Source organism: Homo sapiens, chromosome 16 (assembly GCF_000001405.40).
Source record: "Homo sapiens chromosome 16, GRCh38.p14 Primary Assembly".
NCBI lineage: Eukaryota > Metazoa > Chordata > Mammalia > Primates > Hominidae > Homo > Homo sapiens.
The window spans coordinates 49,730,057-49,750,747 of record NC_000016.10 but is presented as its reverse complement, the minus strand read 5'-3'; the positions used below and the strand labels follow the sequence as shown (position 1 = coordinate 49,750,747).

The 20,691-nt window shown below is 50.5% G+C and overlaps 1 protein-coding gene across 13 annotated transcripts in view, besides 2 other annotated features; it reads left to right on the top strand.

Moving 5' to 3' along the window:
- ZNF423 (zinc finger protein 423) overlaps positions 1-20,691 on the top strand; it is a 371,756-nt gene that overhangs the window by 108,532 nt on the left and 242,533 nt on the right. For 11 of the 13 annotated variants that reach the window (XM_047433809.1, NM_001379286.1, XM_047433808.1 and 8 more), the window contains one exon: positions 19,777-19,977. In XM_047433809.1, the coding sequence (XP_047289765.1) occupies positions 19,881-19,977 (97 nt within the window). In that variant the 5' untranslated portion in view covers positions 19,777-19,880. Of the gene's footprint in view, positions 1-12,205; positions 12,894-19,286; positions 19,451-19,496; positions 19,675-19,776; positions 19,978-20,691 lie in introns of those variants that run through there. The other 2 variants (XM_005255856.5, XM_017023078.2) reach the window with 2 other exon arrangements.
- Positions 3,959-4,459: an enhancer, noted in NCBI's record as "H3K4me1 hESC enhancer chr16:49780200-49780700 (GRCh37/hg19 assembly coordinates)". NCBI's record gives its function as "activates a minimal SCP1, AML or CMV promoter by ChIP-STARR-seq in primed H9 embryonic stem cells {active_cell/tissue: H9 hESC(primed)}" and the evidence as "EXISTENCE:reporter gene assay evidence [ECO:0000049][PMID:30033119]".
- Positions 5,749-6,330: an enhancer, noted in NCBI's record as "H3K27ac-H3K4me1 hESC enhancer chr16:49778329-49778910 (GRCh37/hg19 assembly coordinates)". NCBI's record gives its function as "activates a minimal SCP1, AML or CMV promoter by ChIP-STARR-seq in primed H9 embryonic stem cells {active_cell/tissue: H9 hESC(primed)}" and the evidence as "EXISTENCE:reporter gene assay evidence [ECO:0000049][PMID:30033119]".

The following is a 20,691-nucleotide window of genomic DNA, read 5'->3' as shown; positions in this document are numbered from 1 at the left end:
TGATCACTCACAGCAATGATTTTATTTCTCTATTTATGCATCTTCTGTCTTTTTCCCCACTAGAGGGTAAACTCCCTGAGAGGATCTGTCCACCTCATTCCCGGTTTTGCTCTGGGACAGTCCCTGGCACGTTGCAGGGTCTCCGTGAGTGTTTTGTGAGTGCACAGATGGCCTTAAATGCCCCTGCGCCTCTCTTCTGGAGAGGAGCGTCTGGCTGACCCTGGGGGCTCTGGCCCTCCTCCCTGTGTCTGGCTGACACGTCTTCTGTGACTCAGTGCTGGCAGTTGGCAGAAAGAGAGGAAGGTACCTCCCAGAGGAGTCTGCTTCCCAGAAACACCCAGCCCACTTCCCCCACCTGGGATCCCCCAGGACAGAGGAATGCAGGGACTTCTTGGAAACCCCTGACTTGGCCCCTGGAGGGTGATGACTTGAAGCCCCATATTTAAATGTTAGTGACAAAACCCAGGAAGCCTCACAATTTTGTGCCTAGGAAGGGGTATTGGTGGAGGAGAAAGAGGAGAGGAAGCCGCCAACTGAGAATTCCCAGAGTAGGAATTTCCTAAACTTTTCCCCAGATCACTGGGTGCAAGGAAGCAGCCCCGATGTGACTCACCCCGAGCAGCAGCATGATAGGTGAGCTTGCACTTGCCTGCACAGGTGTGAGTGACAGCCAGAGATGGGCTGTTCGGCAAGGTATGGGCTGACGGCAGCCTTCCCTTCAAGGTCAGCCCCAACTCTCCACCACATGGCCCTTTCCATCTGCACGGATGGACTGGGATGTGGGGAGAGTGGATGGCAGCAATGCTGAAGCAGGTGGCCCCCTGAATTGCACCTCCAGAGACACATGCGTTCGCGGGAGGGAGAATCTCCTTAATGCAAAGACTCCCAGGGTGAACCCATTTGCAAAGCGAGGAAACCTTTTCTAAGATAGAAACCCCACCCCCACCCCTCCCCAATTCACTACTGGGGCCTGTTCACATTTAACTAGGAGTTGTGGACCCGTGTGATTTCCCTCCAGACGAAACTTTAAAGGCAGACTCTCAAAACGATCCCTGGAAGAGATGACCATGGCCCAGGGGCGAGTGGAACAAAGTGTAGAAAGGTTACAAATCAGCGTGTGGCGCAGGATCCCATTCGCACACGGCGATTGCTGCGCGTGTCCGTAAACGCAGGAGAGGATGTGCGGGATCGCGCTCATCAAAGTGGTCACAGCCCCAAGCTCTGGTAGTGAGATTTCAGGTGTTTTTTACTATTTTTCTTTATACTTTTCTGTATGGCTTGTATCTTTGACATCAGTCGCAGTTATCTTTGTAATCAGAAATAACAGTAAAGCATCGTTTTTTTCTGGGAAGGAAAGATACTCAGAAACACAGAAGCAGTTCTGGGGAGAAAGCCGGGTAAGACCACAGGCTGGCCGAATGCACGCCCTGCATCCCTGTCAAGGTCAGGACCTGGGATGCTTGTTGCAGTGTGGGCAGATTCCCCGGCATGGGCGTTTCTTGTGGGGGTGGGCTGGGTCCTTCCTGCACCCACTCCTGCTCCTGGCATAGCCCAGGGCTCCCAGGGGACCTCACTTCTGGGGCTTCTGTCTTTGGTGAGACTTGGTGCTGCTAGATACCCCTGTGGAGTGGTGCCTTGGCTTGAGAGGAGGTTACTCTCCTATGCTGTTTCGCCACCTTCCTCGTCTCTTTATTTAATGCCGTGGAGATGGGACCGTAGCCCCTGGACTCCATAGAAACCGCATTGTCCATGTGGAAAAGCTGCAGCCTGTGGTCACGCTGGTCTTTACCATGCGCTGGACTTCTCTGTTGACCTCTTTCTGCATGAGAGGGGTGCACACAGCGGGGCTCAGAACCTGGTATCCCGGGAAGCACCTCGATGCTCAGAAGAAGCTGGAACCCCTCTTCTACCACCCTCTAGCAGTGACCTTCCCCCTCGGGGCCTCAGTTTCCCTATCTGTAATAGTACCTCTGTCATAGGGCAGGGGGTCACAGGTGGGTACCCATCAAGATACTTTCCCATCCTCCCATCCCTGCACGGAAAAGGGGCTTCGCTGGAAAGATTTCCAGAAACTGTTTTGAACTCTGACCCTGGCCATGTCTTGCCTGTAGTAAGTGATCAGGTGATGTCACCCGGTGTGATTTCTTAGCAACCAGCTACTTTGGTCGGCCAGCTGGCAGATGTTCTCCTACGGAGAGAGTTGGAGTAATTTTTTCCGTTCGATGTGCACTCCTGGAAGGGGGCCAAGACGCGTTTTAGGCAGTACCTGGCTCCTCCTTGAATTAGGCCGTTTTCCATTCTCATCTCCCCGAAGGTGGTTTTCCAGCCTCAGCCATGACTCACAATCTCAGCATACCCACAGGAGGGTCAGAAAATTGGTGAGAAGTGATTTTCTTTTTAAACTCAGAGGTGGAAAATCTGCATTTACTGAAAAATGACTAACTTGGTGTTGTCCAGCAATGGGGCTTGTCCAAGAAGGTCTGCTTTATGGAATGATGTGCATGACTTTAATCACCTCAGTCTACCTTCATTCATCCATTCAACACGGGGTTATTGTGCACCTACTACGTGCCAGGCACTGTTCTAGGTGCTTCGGATTCCACAGTGAACAGATAGAAGTTCCTGCTCTGAGAGAACAATATACTTAGGTCTTATTTGTTTATTTATTTATAGAGACAAGGTCTCACTTATTGCCCAGGCTGGCCTTGGATTCCTGGGCTAAAGTGATCCTCCTGCCTCAGCCTCCCAAGTAGCTGGGACTACAAGTGACAGCCACTGTGCACCTCAGTACCATTTATTCAAGCTCATCCCCTAACCAGGGCTAGGCTCCTCCACACCGGAGGGAGGGAAGGAGCACAGGGCTGGGGCAATAGCCCTGGTTCTGCCACTAACTTGCCTTGTGCCCTGGGGACAATCTCTTGCGTCACAGATTCTGAGAAAGCGCTGGATTGGATTGGCTGTCTTCTTCAGTGCCTTCTCCATCTAAAATTCTGTGCTTCCCTGTGGTTCTCCAATTTATTCACTGTTCTTTTAAAAACTTTTATGATCTAAAAATTTTCAGTGGCTCAGCAATGGTGTTTTTTTTTTTTTTAAATGAAATATCTCAGATAAACAGAAGAGAATAACGACTGTCCAGGATATACCTTTCAGCTTAAGGAATCGTTCACCCAGCTGAGTGCCAGAGTGCCCTACTCTTCCTGCCCCGTTAGGGCTTGGCATTCATCACTTCCCTGTATGCCTTGCTTCTGGAGATATGTGATATTTAATTATAGATGATATCAATTCTTCATTTCCCTGTATGTCTTGTTTCTGGAAATACATATAAATGGTATTTAAATACTACTGATATACATGTTTTAAAACAATATAGATACCATATTTTACCATATAGATAGTTTATCTTTAGCAACTTGCTTTTTTTTTCCCTCTCTCAACATTATGTTTGGAAGATTAATCCGTGTTGATACATGTAGCTGTTTCATTAATTTTAATTGCTGCATGGTGTCCACTCTGTAAATGTACCACAATCTATCTATCGATCTGCTGTTCATGGAGATGTAGATGCTAATTTTTTTTGGCTATTACAAATCATCCTGCAGCAGATACTCTCACGGCGGACTTTCACAAACAGGAGTTTTCTAGGATATAAGCTTCTGTGGGCAGTGACTGAGTCGAAGGGCATGGCTCAAACTCTTTCCCCCGATCTCTGTCTGCCCGCTCTGCTCTCCCCACTTTAAGTACCTTCTTTCCCGGTGGTTCTAGCATATCTCCGGATTGTGTCTTAGTGTCCCCACTTGGGTCATGGGCCGAGCTCGGAGGTCAGGGAAAGGTCAGGATGCTACGGCTAGGGGTGCCACAACTGCTGAGCACTGCTGGGCACCGTGAGGTGCTGCTTCGGGTAGATGGGCTCCAGCTGTTAGGAGGAAGTAGTTCTTTTGCTTCTTGCCCTGAGCTGTCTTAGAAAGCGCCCAGTCTTGGCTGGGCGTGGTGGTTCACGCCTGTAACCGCAGCACTTTGGGAGGTCGAAGTGGGTGGTTCACCTGAGGTCAGGAGTTCCAGACCTGCCTGGCCAGCTAACCCCATTTCTACTAAAAATGCAAAAATTAGCCAGGTGTGGTGGTGGGTGCCTGTAGTCCCAGCAACTCAGGATGCTGAGGCGGGAGAATCTCTTGAACTCAGGAGGCGGAGGTTGCAGTGAGCCGAGATTGTGCCACTGCTCTCCAGCCAGGGTGACAGAGCAAGATTCTGTCTCAAAAAAAGAGAAAGTACCCTGTCTTTTTGGCAATAGCAGTAGGTGAGCAGATGAAAGAAGCCTGGGTTTGTGCTTCACTGTGATTGATAAGGGCAACCCCAGGCTATGACCTTTAGCTTGTCCTCTTTTGAGGTGGGGAAGCTGAGGCTCGATGAGTCCAAGCAGATCTGAGATATCTGTGAGACCCGCTCTCACAGGAAGCTGCTCTGCTCTTTGTCCCACATTTTCTTCCCGCACCCAGTGGCCAGGTGATTCCTTTAACGGTGCAGGAAATTAATCCTGCACTTTTATAGGTGGGGAAACAGAGCCTGGAACAGCAGGGGCCAACATTGCATTCCACTCACAGAATGCCCTCCACACAGAGTTGATGTAGGATGTTGTTACAGGTGGGGAAACTGAGGCTCGGGGAGAGGAAGTGACTGGCCTGAGGTCATGCCAAGAGTTAGGGACAAAGCTCAGATGAAATTACGTACTTCCTCAGATCCCCCTGCACCTGTCCTCATTTTAGGGTATTTCTCTGCCCTGAGTAAGCTGGTGTTGGGGCGCAGATCCCAGTTGGACCTTCTGTGGGGTGAGGGGATAGTTCACTGGGTCCCAGTCCCCTCAGCTCCATCCCCGTGGGCTCCCCATAGAGAGTCCTTTCCTGCCTTTGATGCAAATTCTTGCACTTTCCTGATAATATTCTGGGCTCTTCTTAACACGAGGGGGTCAGCGGCAAGGCATCTCGGCAATTTATAATTCTTGAAAATTCTGTTTGGTGACACGAGTTAGCATTTAATAGACACCCTGCCACCTCCTCTCTCCCTATTGTGACAAGCTCCTGGCAGAATCCTTTTGAGACTAAGGGTAATTGCACCACGCTGCGAACGGGAAGACCACGTCGCGCTCGAGTGCGCCTCAAAAATGTCTTCACAATAGACAGTCAGGTACGAGTTTGCTGGGCTTCAAGGTAATGATTTAAACTTAATTTGACCCTTGATGAGGGAGCCCATGTTTCTGATCAGATGCAGTCTTTAAGTTTGGGCTTGCCTGCCATGCCTTCAATAGTAGCACAAATAATTCCTTCATAACAAGTGCCTTTCAGAGGATGTCTGCTGCTGACAGCTAATATAGAATTATTGCCCCTGAATGCATTTCTGTAATTACTTCCCAGAGATCTGTCTTTGTGTTAGAAGACATTTCGCACTTTAGTAACATAAGTGTTTTGGGAGAGCACGAGCAATAATTATGAGCAGTCTTTCTGTGAAAATAAACCTAAAAAAATTATAAAAGCTAATGGTAAAATTGGTTAGAGCCAGGGAGGAATTTCATCTGAATTTGATTCATGTATATTTATTCTGAGTATAATAACCTTTCCTGCATGGAAACTTTTTTTTTTAAACAAAAGCAATAATGATACAAAGAGCCCGCTTTCTAATTTTTGAGCCAGACCGAAACTGAAAACTGATTAAAAGTGACAAGTTACTCAAGAATGAAGAAAGAAGCCTGATCGTGGAGCTCTGATAGGAGACATTTGCGGTAATGGAAAATGAAATGATTCACAGTGTGATCAATAAAAAATTAGCAGCATTTAATAAAAGGTTTCTGCTTCATGTTGACTAAAGAACATCGCCAGCAGTTTGAAATCCGAGTTAAGTGATGGTTTGAGGAGGAGCCTGGGGGTGGTGAGTGGGGTGTGGGGTGTGCGTGTGCATGTAGATCACACTGATATTGGCCATCAGGCAGAGGCAGCCAGGTCCCTGGGGTGGGTCTGGAAGTTTCCTTGGTGCGGTTCACTTGACCTTTGGCCTGTGGCTAATCCCCCCATGTCTCTGCATCTCTTTGCCTAGGAATGTGAATCCAGGGGTCCTAGGCTGCCAAACAGGCCTTGCTGTCACTGGCTGGGGGGTCTGAGTGCAGTCCCCATCAAAACCCTGACCCCGAGCTGGGTACACCCCAACCCCGAGCTGGGGACACCCTGGCTGGCCACATGTGTGCTGAGCGTGGGGACACCCCGCCTGGCCTCGTGTGTGCTGGGCCTGGGGACACCCCACCTGGCCATGTGTGTGCTCGGCCTGGGGACACTCCACCTGGCCACGTGTGTGCTCAGCCTGGGGACACCCCGCCTGGCCATGTGTGTGCTCGGCCTGGGGACAGCCTGCCTGGCCACATGTGTGCTGAGCATGGGGACACCCTGCCTGGCTGTGTGTGTGCTGAGGCTTCTCGGACCTCTGTGGCAGACGTGTCATGCTGCCCAGGCCATTGGCTTTGTTCTGTGCCTTGCTTCCAGAATCCAGGTTTCTGGAGACATCAGAGAATGTCTTACAGCCCACTTGTGGGGCTCCAAACACCCTCTTGGGGACTGACGGGAAGTCGGCAGAAAGCCGGCAGACCTGAGCAAGTGGATGAGGGTAAGCGGTGGGGAGACCCCTGGGGTCTCCTGGAGGAGCCAGCTGCTTGCATGGATCCTTGGAGGTGGGCTGAGGCTGCCACCCTCCTCCAGTGAGTGGGTGCCTAGATGGGGGTTTACTGGGAGCGGCTCCTTGGAATCTGAGTGTACTCCTCCTGGGGTGGGATAGCACGGGAAAGCCACTCCACGAGTCCTGCTCCCTTTTCTCCAGGCGCCACTTCCGTATTCCCTGGAACGTGGCTGCGCACCAGGCTGTCTCCATGCCTGGCAACTGGTTAATTTTTAAAGGCTTTTTGTGGAGCCTCTGCACTGCGACTGGAGGGAGAGGGGGCTCCCCTGGCCCTCCAGGCCCACCTGGAGGCTCGTTGGTAGGAGGATCATTGGTGGGAAGGGAGCTGCTGGCTTTTGGGTTATAATAGAGGCCCTAGAGCCGGGTCTGGGGAGTCCCTTGAGCCCCCTGTGTCCCGGGGCAGCAGGCAGGACCAGGGGCCTGCTTCGGGCTTCATTCCTGTTGTCCCATCCCTCCCTGGAAATACAGACCTGTGGCTGGATCTTTAAATGTCAGAGTGGGAAGGGCCCTTCCAGACAGCTTCTTCAACACATCCTTATTAATCACCTGCTGTGTACCAGGCCCTATGCTGGGTGCTGAGAGGTGGAGAAGGGGGAAGCAGAGTGAACAAAACTGATGCGGACTTGCCTGCCTGGAGCTTGCATGCCCAGGAGACCTTCGCACATCCAGCAAATAAAATCATGAGGACTGCTATGATAAGTGGAGAAGGAGAGGTGCCCAGCGAGCTCCCAGAGCTCACAGGGGAGGCCTGACCCTGTGGGGGTGCAGATTCACTGAGCTGAGACCTGAACGGTGAGGAGGAGTTGGGCAGGTGAACTTTTACACACTTTCTATTTTGACAGTGAGGCTCTTTCTGCAAAGTGCTGCTGCGGGACCCTGGCGTGGAAGGCGGGCGGCAGCGGGGCTCCCTGGGTGTGGAGGTGTTGTCTTAGAGTTCTGTCCTCAGGCCTGCCCCTGGCACAGTGTTGAGCTGCTAAGGTGCATGGTTTTTAAAATTGCTTCTCTGTGGTCCATGCCTTAATTTACAGATGGGGCAGCTGAGGCCCAGAGAGGGCACACCTTGCCCGGAATGCACAGCGATGATGCCTGGCCCCTGGGCTCTGGGCTCTCCATTCACACCGCCTCTGTTTATCCTTGGCTCTGAGCCAAACTCCATTAGCCTGGCCACTGGTTCTGGTTTTAGGGGTACAGATCCCTCCTCTCCCTGCTTTTCTTCCCCTAACCGGGATCCTTTTTTTGCAGCCACAAGGGGGGTGATTTGCGCCCCAGCATCCTAGCCTTGAGTTCTGCTCCAGGACTGAGAGCAATTAGGAGTGTCAGGCACTAGCACTGGCCACAAATTAGCTGGATTTATCGAGCTCCCCACGCTGCCTGACCATCCTCCCTCCCCTGCCCACCGCCGGCCCTGCTCCCCCATCTCCCCCTTCCCAGAGACAAAACATGACAGCAAGGCGAGGGCAGAATGGTCACTGCCTCAGGAGGTCACGAGGAGGTAACAGTGCACAATTTTCATGGTTCCAGGGTGGCTTTGTCTGACTGTTCTTCATTACTGCACGCGGCGAGATCAGTTTTATTAAGATTGTAAGGCTTGGAGGAGTGACACCATTAACTACTTGCTGGAAAAATAAATTTGATTTTTTCTTGCAGGGGGTGTTTGAGGTTTATTTTTCTCCCCCCTGCTTCCCTCCTCCCCTCTTCCCTCCCTCTCATCTGCCTTCTTTTCTTTCCACTCATTCCTGACCCACTGTAGTTGAGAGCTGAGTGCAAGTGTCTGTGAGGTTGGGGAAGCTGCCATCTCTCTTTACCTTCCGGGGATTTTGTGGCAGCTGAGCCCTGCAGGGAGGGTAGAGTCATTCATTCGTGCATGTATGGAACACCCATAAAAAACAAGGTCCTTGTGACCAAATGTCAGCCTGTCCTGGTCATGGAGCTGTGTATGGTTCTTTCATGTGTTTGCATCTAGAACAGGGGCTGGCACATAGTAGGTGCTCAGTAAATGTTTGTTGACTGATTGAAGATGTGGAGGATTTGTGTCTGACATGGTTCCAACGTTTAGGGAGCTCACTGCTGACCAGCGCCTGGTGGGCAGAGACCTGGAGTGAGGTCACCTGGAAAGTGGTCCCATAGGGAGCATCCACAGCATGAGTACCATCCTCATTTTCTAGGTGAGGAAACTGAGGCTCAGAAGTACAAGCAACCAAGGTCTTGCACAAAAATGGACTTGAACTCAGTTCCTGAATCTCTAAAGAAGAGACACTTTCATCACTGCTTAGCTGACTGCTCAGCTGACTGCTCTTTCTGGTGAGGAATGAGCAGATGACCCTGTGCTCTAGGGGCTCTGAGGGGCTCTTGCTGGACACACTCCATGGCAGAGACCCTCAGTGGGTAGCCCCCAGGCTGGACCAGCCCTCCAAGGCATATTGTTTAGCCCATACTGTGTTTCTTAAAACTTGAAGTCAACATTTAGAAATCATCCAGAAATTTTATAGAGAACGGTGGATTTCCTCCTCCTTCTTCTTCTTTTTTTTTTGAGACAGAGTCTTACTCTGTTGCCCAGGCTGGAGTGCAGTGGTGCAATCTTGGCTTACTGCAATCTCTGCCTCCCAGGTTCAAGTGATTCTCCTGCCTCAGCCCCCCGAGTAGCTGGGATTATAGGCATGCGCCACCATGCCCGGCTAATTTTTTATTTTTTTGGGGCATTTTTAGTAGAGACAGGGTTTCACCATGTTGGCCATGCTGGTCTCCAACTCATGACCTCAAATGATCCACCCGCCTTGGCCCCCCAAAGTGCTGGGATTACAGCTGTGAGCCATGGATTTTCTTCTTTAAAAAAAAAAAAGCAGCAGGTGTGTTTGCAGTGCTGACCATCTAGAGGAGTTGAGACCCCTCCCTGGGTGGGCTTCTGTGTGCTCACTCCACACCCCATTCGCTTGTACACTCATTTCTGTAATTTGTGTGGTGGTGGGGGAATTGGAGTTGAGAGCTTCTCTCCACTCGTTATCCGAGTGACTGAGGGGGCTGTCTCAGCCATCGGAGCCTCAGTTTTGCCGTCTGTAAAATAGGTCTGGTGGTAACGTCTCCCTGACAGGGGCTGGGGGTCACGAGGCGAAAGATACAAAGGAATTGGAAGTTCTGGCCTGAAGGAGGCGATTGCCATCACACTGCTAGTCCTTTAGGTTCTAGACTTGCTGACAACTGAAGATACGTTCTCTGGAAGTTTCTAGTCATTTCTGTGGGCCTCTGCAGAGGGTTGTCCTGTATCAGTCCCTCATGGCCAGACGGAGCAGCCCAGCAAGGCTTGTGTGATGTAGCCGAGGTCAGGTTCAATGTCTCTGACGGACCTTGGCTTGAAATTCCATCCACAGAGCCACAGGCACCGATAGGGACACCGGGGTCTCCCCAGACAGCCATCAGGAAGTTGCTTCCTTATTTAAGAAGCCGAACTTGGACAGCAAATTATGTGTTAAAATATTTGCCTAGAGCTCTGCTGCCAAGGGGACCCTTTAGGCTGAGTGTTAAATGTTACCCCGCTGCCTGCACTGCAAATATTTTAAACCTGAAGATAAATAATGGCTGCCTTTTGGAATTTGGGGCCAGCAATGGATGCACAAGCCGAGTGCGGAATTGGGGTTGGTGGGCTCTTTGCCCAGCCCTGGCCACACCCCTCCCGGGGCCTGCTTGAGAGAGTGTTCATGGAGGAGAGGGTTCTTCTCTGTGAGCAGGACCCAAACGAACACTGAATAGAGGCTAAGCCAGGGCTTTGACCTGGTGCTCAGATTCAGAAAAGGCATCTTGCCCTCGGGAACATGTTTTTAGGAAACGTGCAGGCTGTTAGGGTGGAGGATATTTTTTTTAATGAAAAAGAAATGTCGGCGGGGTACAGTGGCTCACTTCTGTAATCCCAGCACTTTGGGAGGCTGAGGTGGGATTACTTGAGGCTGGGAGTTTGAGACCAGCCTAGGCAACATAACAAAACCCCATCTCTACAAAAATTTTAAAAATTACCTGGGTCTAGCCGAGTGCGTTGGCAGGCGCCTGTAATCCCAGCTACTCGGGAGGCTGAGGCAAGAGAATCACTTGAACCCGGGAGGCAGAGGTTGCAGTGAGCCGAGATTGTGCCACTACACTCCAGCCTGGGTGACACAGCAAGACTCTGTCTTGGGGGAAAAAAAATTACCTGGGTCTGATGGTGCATCTGTAATCCTGACTGCTCGGGAAGCTGATGTGGGAGGATTGCTTGAGCCCAGGAGTTCAAGGCTGCAGTGAGCTGAGATCGCATCACTGCACTCCACCCTCGGTGACAGACCAAGATCCTGTCTCCAAAAAAAAAAAAAAAAAAACCAAACAAAAACAAAAAAACAAACGTGTTGCTCCAGGGTAAAGACTTTGGAAATGGTAGGTATCTTCCTGGACCGTTTTTCCCTCAGCCACCTACAGAGGGCGGGCACAAGAACAGTGGGCTTGTGGGTTGTAAGCTGATCACACCCCTTCACGGAGGAGGTGGCTCGCACCTTACTCAGGATCGCACAGTCTGGGAAGGGGAGGATTCACACTTGGACCCAGGACTTTCCTCTCCTGATGGAGTGGATTTTTTTTCTTTTGGTATGCATGGACATTTTCGTGCCTTGCAAGAGGGCCTGTGCCATGACATTCCTTGTCCTCCTGCATCCTCAGGAGCATGTGAGGCCTCCTGCCAGACCCCTCCGGGTTTGACGCCTCCAGCTTTTGTCTGCACTGCGATGCTGCACATGTTGGTTTGAATCATAACCCAGCAGCAAGACAGTGCTTACCAGCTACCATTGTCTCAAGCTGTACTATGAGCCAAGCATCTGGCTTTGTATATATCACCTTATTAAAATTATGTGACTTAATTAAATGAGTCCCAGAGAGGGCAAGTGACTTGTTCATGGTCCCCCAGCTGCTAAATGGTGGAGTGTGGATTTGAACCCAGACAGGCTGGCTTCAGAGCCTGTGATTCTTTTCTGTTTTTTCTCTGTCATCCCCGACAGTCCCTGGAACATGCATCCAGCCATCTGCTGCTTGTATGTGTCATTACTTAATGACTGTCTTTATTTCAACAACTTGGTTCCATCAGCTCCACTGCACTCCTCTACCCCAGTGTCCCGATGGCTCCTGTACAGTTGGGTTCTCTGGTAACCCCTGGATATGCCTAGAATGTGGCGCCTGGTGGTTCTGCTTTCTGCAGGGGTGGGTGGTATGGTCTCCCATCCAAATCTGATTGGGAGAAGAAGTGAGAGGTGGGGAAGCCTTTCCAGGGCTTGCTGGCCTTGCTGGTCCTGCTGACCCCGCTGCCCTCTCACTCTCACCTGGCAGTGTTCCTGGCTCTCTCACTTTCTCCGCTCCACTGGTCTCCCTTCTCCCCTGCACCCTTTCTCCTCCCGTCCATCCCTGCTCTGGCCTCCCCTATCCCCTCGAAACCCCACAAGGCTCCTATATCCCCTGATGTGGAGCTGAGCTGTGTGCCTGTCTCATAGTGGCCATGCATTCAGGTGAGCCCCGCCTCCCCACTGTGAGGTTGGAGAGGATGGCGTTCATGAGATTCAGGCTTCTTTTGGGCCTATGAGGAATCAGAGGCTCAGGTAGGGGACTTGCCTTGGTCAAGGTCACTCATGGTTGGGGGCTGAGGTGTACTGGAGCTAAGACCGGAATCTGGGTCCCCGACCAGCCCCAGCCCTGGATGCCGGCCCCTTACTACTTAGCGTATCCTCTTGGGCATTCATTTATTCATCTAATCACTCATTTGCCCACCCCATATTTATTAAGCATCTTTTCTGTGCCAGCCTTTGTGTGGGCTTTGAGGCCGCCAAGATGAATGGGGTTGGGGAGCACCCCGTATGTTGCAGCAAATGTGCATGTGTTATGCCTGGCACACCGTAGGCACTTAATAAGTATTTGTGGAAAGAATGAAGGAAAGAATGGGTGAGTGCGTGTGATTGTTGACCCTGGTTTGTCGCATGTCTCTCAAGCTCTGTCCTAGGTCTCTCTGTCTCGGGTGCATGGAGGCAGCTCCTGGCCCCCTGCCTCCATCTTGTGGATACTCAGCCATGTGGCCCCAGAGGTGGGACCTCTGATGGTGGCTGGGAGGTTTTCAGTGTGCCCAGGGCTCTCTGCTGACTAGCTGACTCCCGGGACACGAGAGCAAGGAAGAGGCATCCTTCTGGGTGAGTTTCCTTCTGATTCGTGTGCTGGCCAGGGGCCGACATTGGCTGACCCTTTTCTAGCTGGCCCTTGGGAGGGTGAGGCCCTGGTGGCCCTGGCTCATGACCTTGCGAAGCCCTGCTGGGAAGGTAGGAAATGTGCTGTTCTCAGACCTGGCAGCCTGTGGGCAGTCTGGTCCCCTGGGGCCTCTCCCCGTTCCCCTTTTCCTGGCAGTGGACCCAGCCAGCTGTCCCCTGCCCCGTGATTTTGCAGGCATTCCCTTTCTGCCTTTCCGTATAGTGGTTAAGAGTCAGGATCAGCTGGGTGCGGTGGCTCACACCTGTATTCCCAGCACTTCGGGAGGCCGAGGCGGGTGGATCAGAAGTTTGAGACCAGCCTGGCCAACATGGCAAAACCCTGTCTCTGCTAAAAATATGAAAATTAGCCAGGCATGATGGTGCTTGCCTGTAATCCCAGCTACTCAGGAGGCTGAGGCAGGAGAATCACTTGAACCTGGAAGACAGAGGTTGCCGTGAGCTGAGATTGCACCATTGCACTCCAGCCTGGGTGACAGAGTGAAACTCTGTCTTGGAAAAAAAAAAAAGAGTCAGGATCTAGAGTCAGAAGACCTGGATACAAATTCCTCTCTGCCCTTCCTGGCACGTGCTTTGAATGGGCTCCTGAGCCTTGTTTTTTTTTTTTCCTCATTGACAAAGTGGGTGAGTCCATTGCACCTACCTGCAGAATGGGGATATCCATTGTACCTACCACATAGAGTTTCTGTCCTCATCGAAATGGGGCAGTGTGAGTGTAAAATGGTACCAGGAGATGCTCACACCATACTCAGCTCCCCTCAGGGTGTAGGGGAGGCTGTGCCACCTCCCTCTGTCCCTGGCAAGGCCCTCTGTCCCTGGCAAGGCCTCTGCTGCTCCTTCCCTCTAGAGGGCATGGGGCCATCTGTCTTGCTGCACAGCGTTTCTGCAGGGTCCGCTGTCTGCTCTCAACGTCATCATCTTGAATGCAAGCCCTTTCTTAAGGGCAGTAGCTCAGTGAGGTGGGAAAATTCACTACTTTTACTTTATTTTTTGAGACTCTTGCTCTGTTATCCAGGCTGGAGTGCAGTGGTGCGAACACGGCTCACTGCAGCCTCCAACTCCTGGGCTGAAACGATCCTCCTGCTTCAGCCTCTCAAGTAGCTAGGACCACAGGCGTGCACCACCATGCCTGGCTGATTTTTAAAATTTTTGTAAAGATGGGGTCTCACTGTGTTGCCTGGGCTGGTCTCAAACTCCATAGGTTCTCCTGTCTCATCCTCCTAAAGTGCTAGGATTACAGGCGTAAGCCATTGTGACTGGCCTGAAAATTCAGTGCTTTCCAGCGAAACATGATTGAGGTGAAAGGTTTTGTTATTGCCTCTCTTTGCTCATAGAATGTCCCCCAAGTCCATATCTTGGGTTCAGGGAAGCTGGGTTTGGGTGGGTGTGGTGTAGTGGGGTTTCCTGGTGTGGGTGTACCCTCTTCCTCCTGGCTGCAGGAAGAAGCTGGCAGGACAGGGCAACCTCGTCATATGTGAGGCTGAGCCATTTGAGATTGCCAATATTCAACTTTTTTGACCTAAAAAATGGCACCTTTATATGATTCAATCTAATACTTATCGTCAGACAATAAACTGCACTGTGGCCCCTTCCCCTCCTTCTGCCTCTACCTGTGTGGGGATTCAGAGGCCTGCTTTTTTGAAACCAATCAATTAATTCACTCATCCATTCATTCAACATTTATTGAGCCCCTACTATATGTCCCTCTGTATGCCAGGGTTGGGGGAGGTGGCACTGAGCTAAATTAGACACAGCTCCTGCCCTCATGGAGCTTATAGTCCGGTGTGGGGCGAGAAGGTCGGCTATCCATTGCTACGTAACAAACCATCCCAAAATGTAATGGCCTGAAGCAATAATTTATTACTACTTCTCACAGTACTATGAGCTAACTGGGTTCAGCTGGCAGTCTCACTGGGTGTTTCTTGTACAGTTGCAGCCGCATGGTGTTTGGAGCTGCTGTCATCCAAAGGCTTCTTGGGGTGGGATGTCCAAGATGGTGTGCTCCCATGGCTGAAGTCGGTGCTGGAAGCTGGGAGCTGTTGACTGGAGCCCCTATGTGCTCTCTCTCCATGTGGCTTGGGCTTCATATATTATGGCTGCTGGGCTTGAAGGGGGAGTGTCCCAGGAGATGCAGGGGGAAGCTGCAAGCCTCCTTCTGACCTAGCCTCAGAAGTCTAGAATAGCACTTCTGTTGCATCCTGTTGGTCAAGGAGCCACTGAGTCTGGCCAGCCCCGAGGGGGACTGTGGAGGAGAATTCGGTCCCTCGTTATGATGAGGGAGTCAAGGTCTCCCTGCAGAAGGGCAGGTGGGGTGGGAGATATTGCTGTGGCAGTCTGTGGAAAATGCAGCCTGCCAAGGGAGAGAGAAAGTAGACAAATTAGCCCACAAAAGCATGAGTGCACGTGATGCTGAGAGCTCTGACTGCAAAGGGAAGAGAGCCCTGGGGAAAGAGTAATGGGGCCCCAACTTCCGTAGGTGCCCAGGCTGGTGGAGATCTTTGGGAACTGTGTGAAGACTTAACGGAAATCTTCCTGCTGGAGATCAGGAGTGGGAAGCCCTGGACCAAAGAGACTTGGAAGTTTATGGGGTTGAAAGATGACCTTCAAGGCTGTGGAGATGGGCGATAAGTGAGAGAGATCAGCAGAGCCGTTGCTGAACCTTAGGGGCTGTGACCAGGACCCTACATGGGACTTTGAGGGGTTTTACAAACTCCCAACACCTGGCTCAGGTGTTCATTGCGTCTTACTGTGAGGAAACCATGTAGTAGAGTGGTTAAGAGTCACATGCAGTGGGCTTGAAACTCAGCCCCACCACTTCTCTGTGGCCTCACTTAAGCTCTGTCACTTCCCAGAGCTCTGCTTTCCTCACCTGTAAAATGGGGATATGATGACATCAACTCATAAGGTGCCTGCACTTGATTAAGCATTGAGTGCTTAATCAATGCTCACTGTTCTTGGGGCATGCCTGGGCAAAAGGATGCAGGTGTGCACATCAGAAAACAGTTGTCCATCGTGGAAAGCATGAGCTCTGGGAGGTAGGGAATCTTGTCAGCTGGACGGACAGGTCGGCGTTCACAGCACTGGTTCGGTTTCTGTCCCATGCACATGGCCCTGAGGGAGAGGTCCCTGATTTGAAATCCATTTGGCTCGGGCCTTCCCTGAGCGAGCTGTCTTCATGCTGCTGCAGACAGCCCCCAGGAGGACAGGGGAGGAGCCAGAGGGAAAGGAGCCAGCCGGCTGTTTTCGGGAAGCCCTCCCCAGCCCTGGAGGCCTCTGCAGAAAAGCATTGAGCCATTGGCCTTCTCCTCGGCCTGTTGAAGTTGCTTCACTGGGCTCTGGGGTGATTGGAGGAACCAGTGAGCTGCAGTTCTAGCCCAGGTCATTGAAATGAGCCAGCGCTTGTGATGGGACTCACAAGGCAGGGCCAGGTGCTGGGCCTCTGGGCCCTATGTTCTCTGAGTTTGCACAGGTGATGTCCAGACTCAGGACAGGGACCAGTTGAGGGGCCTCTGGGGCTGGACAGAGCAGCACACAGGACAGGCGGAGCTGGGTTGAAGGAGTAGGGAAGGTCCAATCATTCCATCCCCAGGACTTACTGAGCAACCGATCAGGTGGGCCTGGAAAAGAGGAACCCCAGACGGTCTCCAGGTAGGTCTGATGTCCTTGGAGCTCCCTGTTGTTAGAACTTCTGCCTCCTGGGCCTTGGAGAGCTTGGGGCTCCAACAGGCCCAGGGACTTCAGGAAAGGTGTGCTGCTTAATGAACACGTGAACGTGTAGATTCGATCCTGGCATGGCTTTGGGTGGCCTTGCAGAGGCTCAGTTTTCTCATCTGCAAATGGAAAAATAACACCATTTATTCTTTTGTCTTATGGTGAGGTTCAGAAACTCCTGGGCATGAAAGTGCATTGCAAGAGGCAAACCCTGCCTGGGGTGGAGGCCTTCCTGTTCTCCAGCGCCTGATTCTGCTGAATCAGCAGAGGGGCCCTTGGGTCTTCAGGGAAGTCCCACTCCCCAAAACTTCTTCAGGCCCCTGAGTCTTCCCTGTCTTGTGTCACCTCCCTGAGGGCCAGGCTGGGACCCCTTGGGAGCCCAGAGGATGAGGTCCGCGCCTTTGTGTGGCCTGAGCTCGCCTTCGTCTCCATCCCTTTCTGCACAGCCACCCTCCCTTCCCATTAGTAGCCGGCCATAGGGGAGGTGACAGTTGCTTAAAACAGATTTATACTCTTGGATGACTTTATGGGTTTTTGCCTTATAAAAACCTGAGAGTTGACATTCTGATTTATCTACTCCCGAGTCAACAGGATGTACCAGATTTAAAGAGATCAAATACATTGTGATGTTTGTGGTTCCAGTTGTGGATTAGATGAGCTATTATAGAAAGTGCTGCCAAGTAAATACGGCAAAAAAATAACGAGGGGATAATTTAAATATGTCTATTAAATTGTGTGTTAAGTAAAGTAGCACAAGTGTGGTGCTGATTGTAACTTATTATCTGGAGGGTCGGTGTAGTAGATAAAGCCAGAATTATGGCTCTTTTATTTTCCCTTTCTACAGAACATTTTTTTTTTATTAAGGAAAGACTGTAAACGAGGAATTTCGGAGACGGGCACTTGACTGTGTAACCATGGTTGTATGATGACTTACAATATCGAAGGCTCCAAATGATATTTCTCATTTCTTTGCTTTCTATTTCTTACCCTCACTGCAGCGGCAGATCAGATTCCCTGAGATAAATATGCTGCCTGACTTTTAATGGGATTTCTGTATTGCCAGGAGTTGGCGCGTTCTGATAATAAAAGAACCTAAAAACTGTACATCCCTTAATTGGTAAGAAGAGAGATGTTTTGATGGGCCACAAATGGAAACATTGATTTTTACTGCCTCCGCGCAGTTCCAGGCGGCGTGTCGTGCAACGTTCCCCGCCTTGGAAGGAAGCAGCTGGCTCTCCGATGAGCCGATTTGTGTTCCCAGGTTCTTGATGTCGGGTGCTTGGAAGGGCATGTTCTGTGCAGACAGGAGAAATAGAGCCCTTATAACATTATCTGTTTCCAAATTGAAATATTCACAGGACTGTGGTTTCCACCTTGAATTGAGTGCATTCTTTGCTTCGTGTCTGTCTTTCTTGCTTTGGCGCCCGCCCTCAGGGGTTTGCAGGTTGTGCACTGAGCCTTTTCCTGTAACTGTGATGTTGCATGTACACACATGTACATACAGGTGCACATACACGCACTTTTGCATATGTACATATGCTTTCAAAAACACCTTTATGGATAATAAGATCTCTTTCTTTGATTTAAATCAGTGCAGCTAGTTTCCGGATGGGTAAATCTGTTTTCCAGGACAGGCTGTGGGAAGAGACAACACACACTTTTATTTTCCAATCCGAGGGTCTCTGCATTTTAACACACAAATTTTATCCATTGACATTTATTAGGATTACTGATATATTCTGTGGGTTATATTTACCACACGCTTTTGCACTTTGATTTACAAGTTCCTGGTGTGTCTTATTAATCTGTAAGATTGGGGCTGTGCTCCATTACCCACAGTTGTGCAGGGAAGTGAACTAGACCAGGAGTCACGAAGTTGAGCTGAGCCTCTGTAGGGTGCTTGGGCTGTTGCTTCTTCTGGTTGGATGCCAGGTACCTTACCTGTGAGACAAAGCTGTCCCTCTCTGCAGGGGGTTGGATCACATGATCCTTTGAGCCTTCTTTGAGTTTAGGATATGCAAGACTGTGAAATGGGGCTGTGCATATATAATGGTGGCTTTGAAGAAGCACGGAACACAGCACAATTGCAAGGCATCATTATGATTACGAATTCACTTTTCCCTATAGATTAGCCACTCTCTGCACAGTGCTAAGCACAGTAGCTGTTTTATTTTAAAGAAATCAGTGAGATCATTCCACGACTGATTCTAACTGTCTAGGCCTGTACCAGGTCACAGGTGACACTATTTATTTTATTTTATATTTTTTAGAGATAGGGTCCAGGCCCAGGCTGGAGTACAGTGGCACGATCATAGTTCCCCGTAACCTCGAACTCCTGGTCTCTAGCAATCCTCCTGAGTAGGTAGAACTACAGGCACACACCACTATACCAGGCTAATTAAAAAAAAATTTTTTTTTTTTTGTAGAGATAGAGTCTTGCTATATTGCCCAGGCCGGTCTCAAACTCCAGGCCTTCAGCAATTTTCCCACCTTGGTCTCTCAGAGTGCTAGGATTATAGGTGTGAGATTCCATGCCCAGCCTGGATGCATTTTAAGCTTGAGATTCGACCATCCATGGTTCTTCAAACATGTGTACTTCCTTTATTTCAGAGTTGGACATCTTTGCAAAGAACTGAGCCAACGTCACTGCCCTGGGAGGCCTGTTGTGTGGAAGGCGAACTTGGCTAAGAGATCTCCCAGCTCTAAATTGCAAGGCTGTGGGGAAAACTAAAAGTTTAGGTGTGTTAGGAACAGCTGATGGAGGCTTTAAAAAGGTGTGTAACTGAATCTGGTTTTTAGGAGACAAATAAGGTTTTTCACCTCTCCGATGGGTCACGGCCCCCAGCATCCGTGCACAGAGGGGAGATGACAGGAAATCCCCCTAGAAGATTTGCACCAAGAATTAAAGAATCTGGTTGAGAATTATGGCACCACATGCTACAAAAAAACCCCATCTATTAATATACTGAGAGGTGTCAAGGATAATGGACCCCGGGAGGTAGAGTAATTAAATGTATCTTAATAAATGCCGGGCGATTCTTTTAAAACCCTTTCCCAAGACCCCATCAGCTGACATGGACTGTATTCTTCCTGTTGGCAGGAGGCCTAGAAGGAGAGCCAGAGTGCGATCAGAAAACCAGCCGTGCGCTGGAAGACAGGAACAGCGTGACAAGTCAAGAGGAGAGAAATGAGGATGATGAAGACATGGAGGATGAATCAATTTACACCTGCGATCACTGTCAGCAGGACTTCGAGTCTCTGGCAGACCTGACGGACCACCGGGCCCACCGCTGTCCTGGAGGTAATGCAAAACAGCCCCAGGACTCTGACAGGTGGTTACACGGGTAATTGGACATAGCAACAGCTTGAAGCCTCAAGTGAGATTAAAGAATTAATAATGTAATTTTACAGTTAATGTCATTTTATTGTGGTGTCTTGGGTACCCTGTATCCGCCTTTTAAATACAATTAAAAATAAAAGCAACAGCTTTCCGGCAGGCAGGAATTAGATGGTGGTGCTCTGTCCCGGCCCCCTCTCCCCGCAAGCTGTGCTCTGGTACTCAGGCCATGAATGGGTGGATGTGCACCCTGAATTTCTGGAAGGCCTTTTGGAAACGCAGTAATTAAGAGGTTGTTAGTGCAAAGTTAAGCAGCTTAAGTGTGGAAAGCTGCATAAAGGAGTAAGCTCCGAGGCAGAGCTTCTGATGGGATGAGGAAATTTCAAAGGCCAAGGACAGCCCGTGAAAAAGGGACCTGTTTCCAACTCTGTGCTTGACCTCACACTTCTCTGAGTAGGAGGAGAAGGGTAGCTGGGAGCTGCTTCTGCTAGATTTGACTGGAGCTCTGTTCTCCATTTACTTGGTGCCTTGGAGAGGGTGTGTAAGACCAGTTTTCTAGGAGCTACTGAAGACTTCAGGAGTTTTGTGTGTATATGTGTATTTGTCTGGGGTGATTGGGGTGGGGAGTCAGAGGGCATGTGCATTCCCTGGGATGTGGAAGCCATGCTACAGGGATGA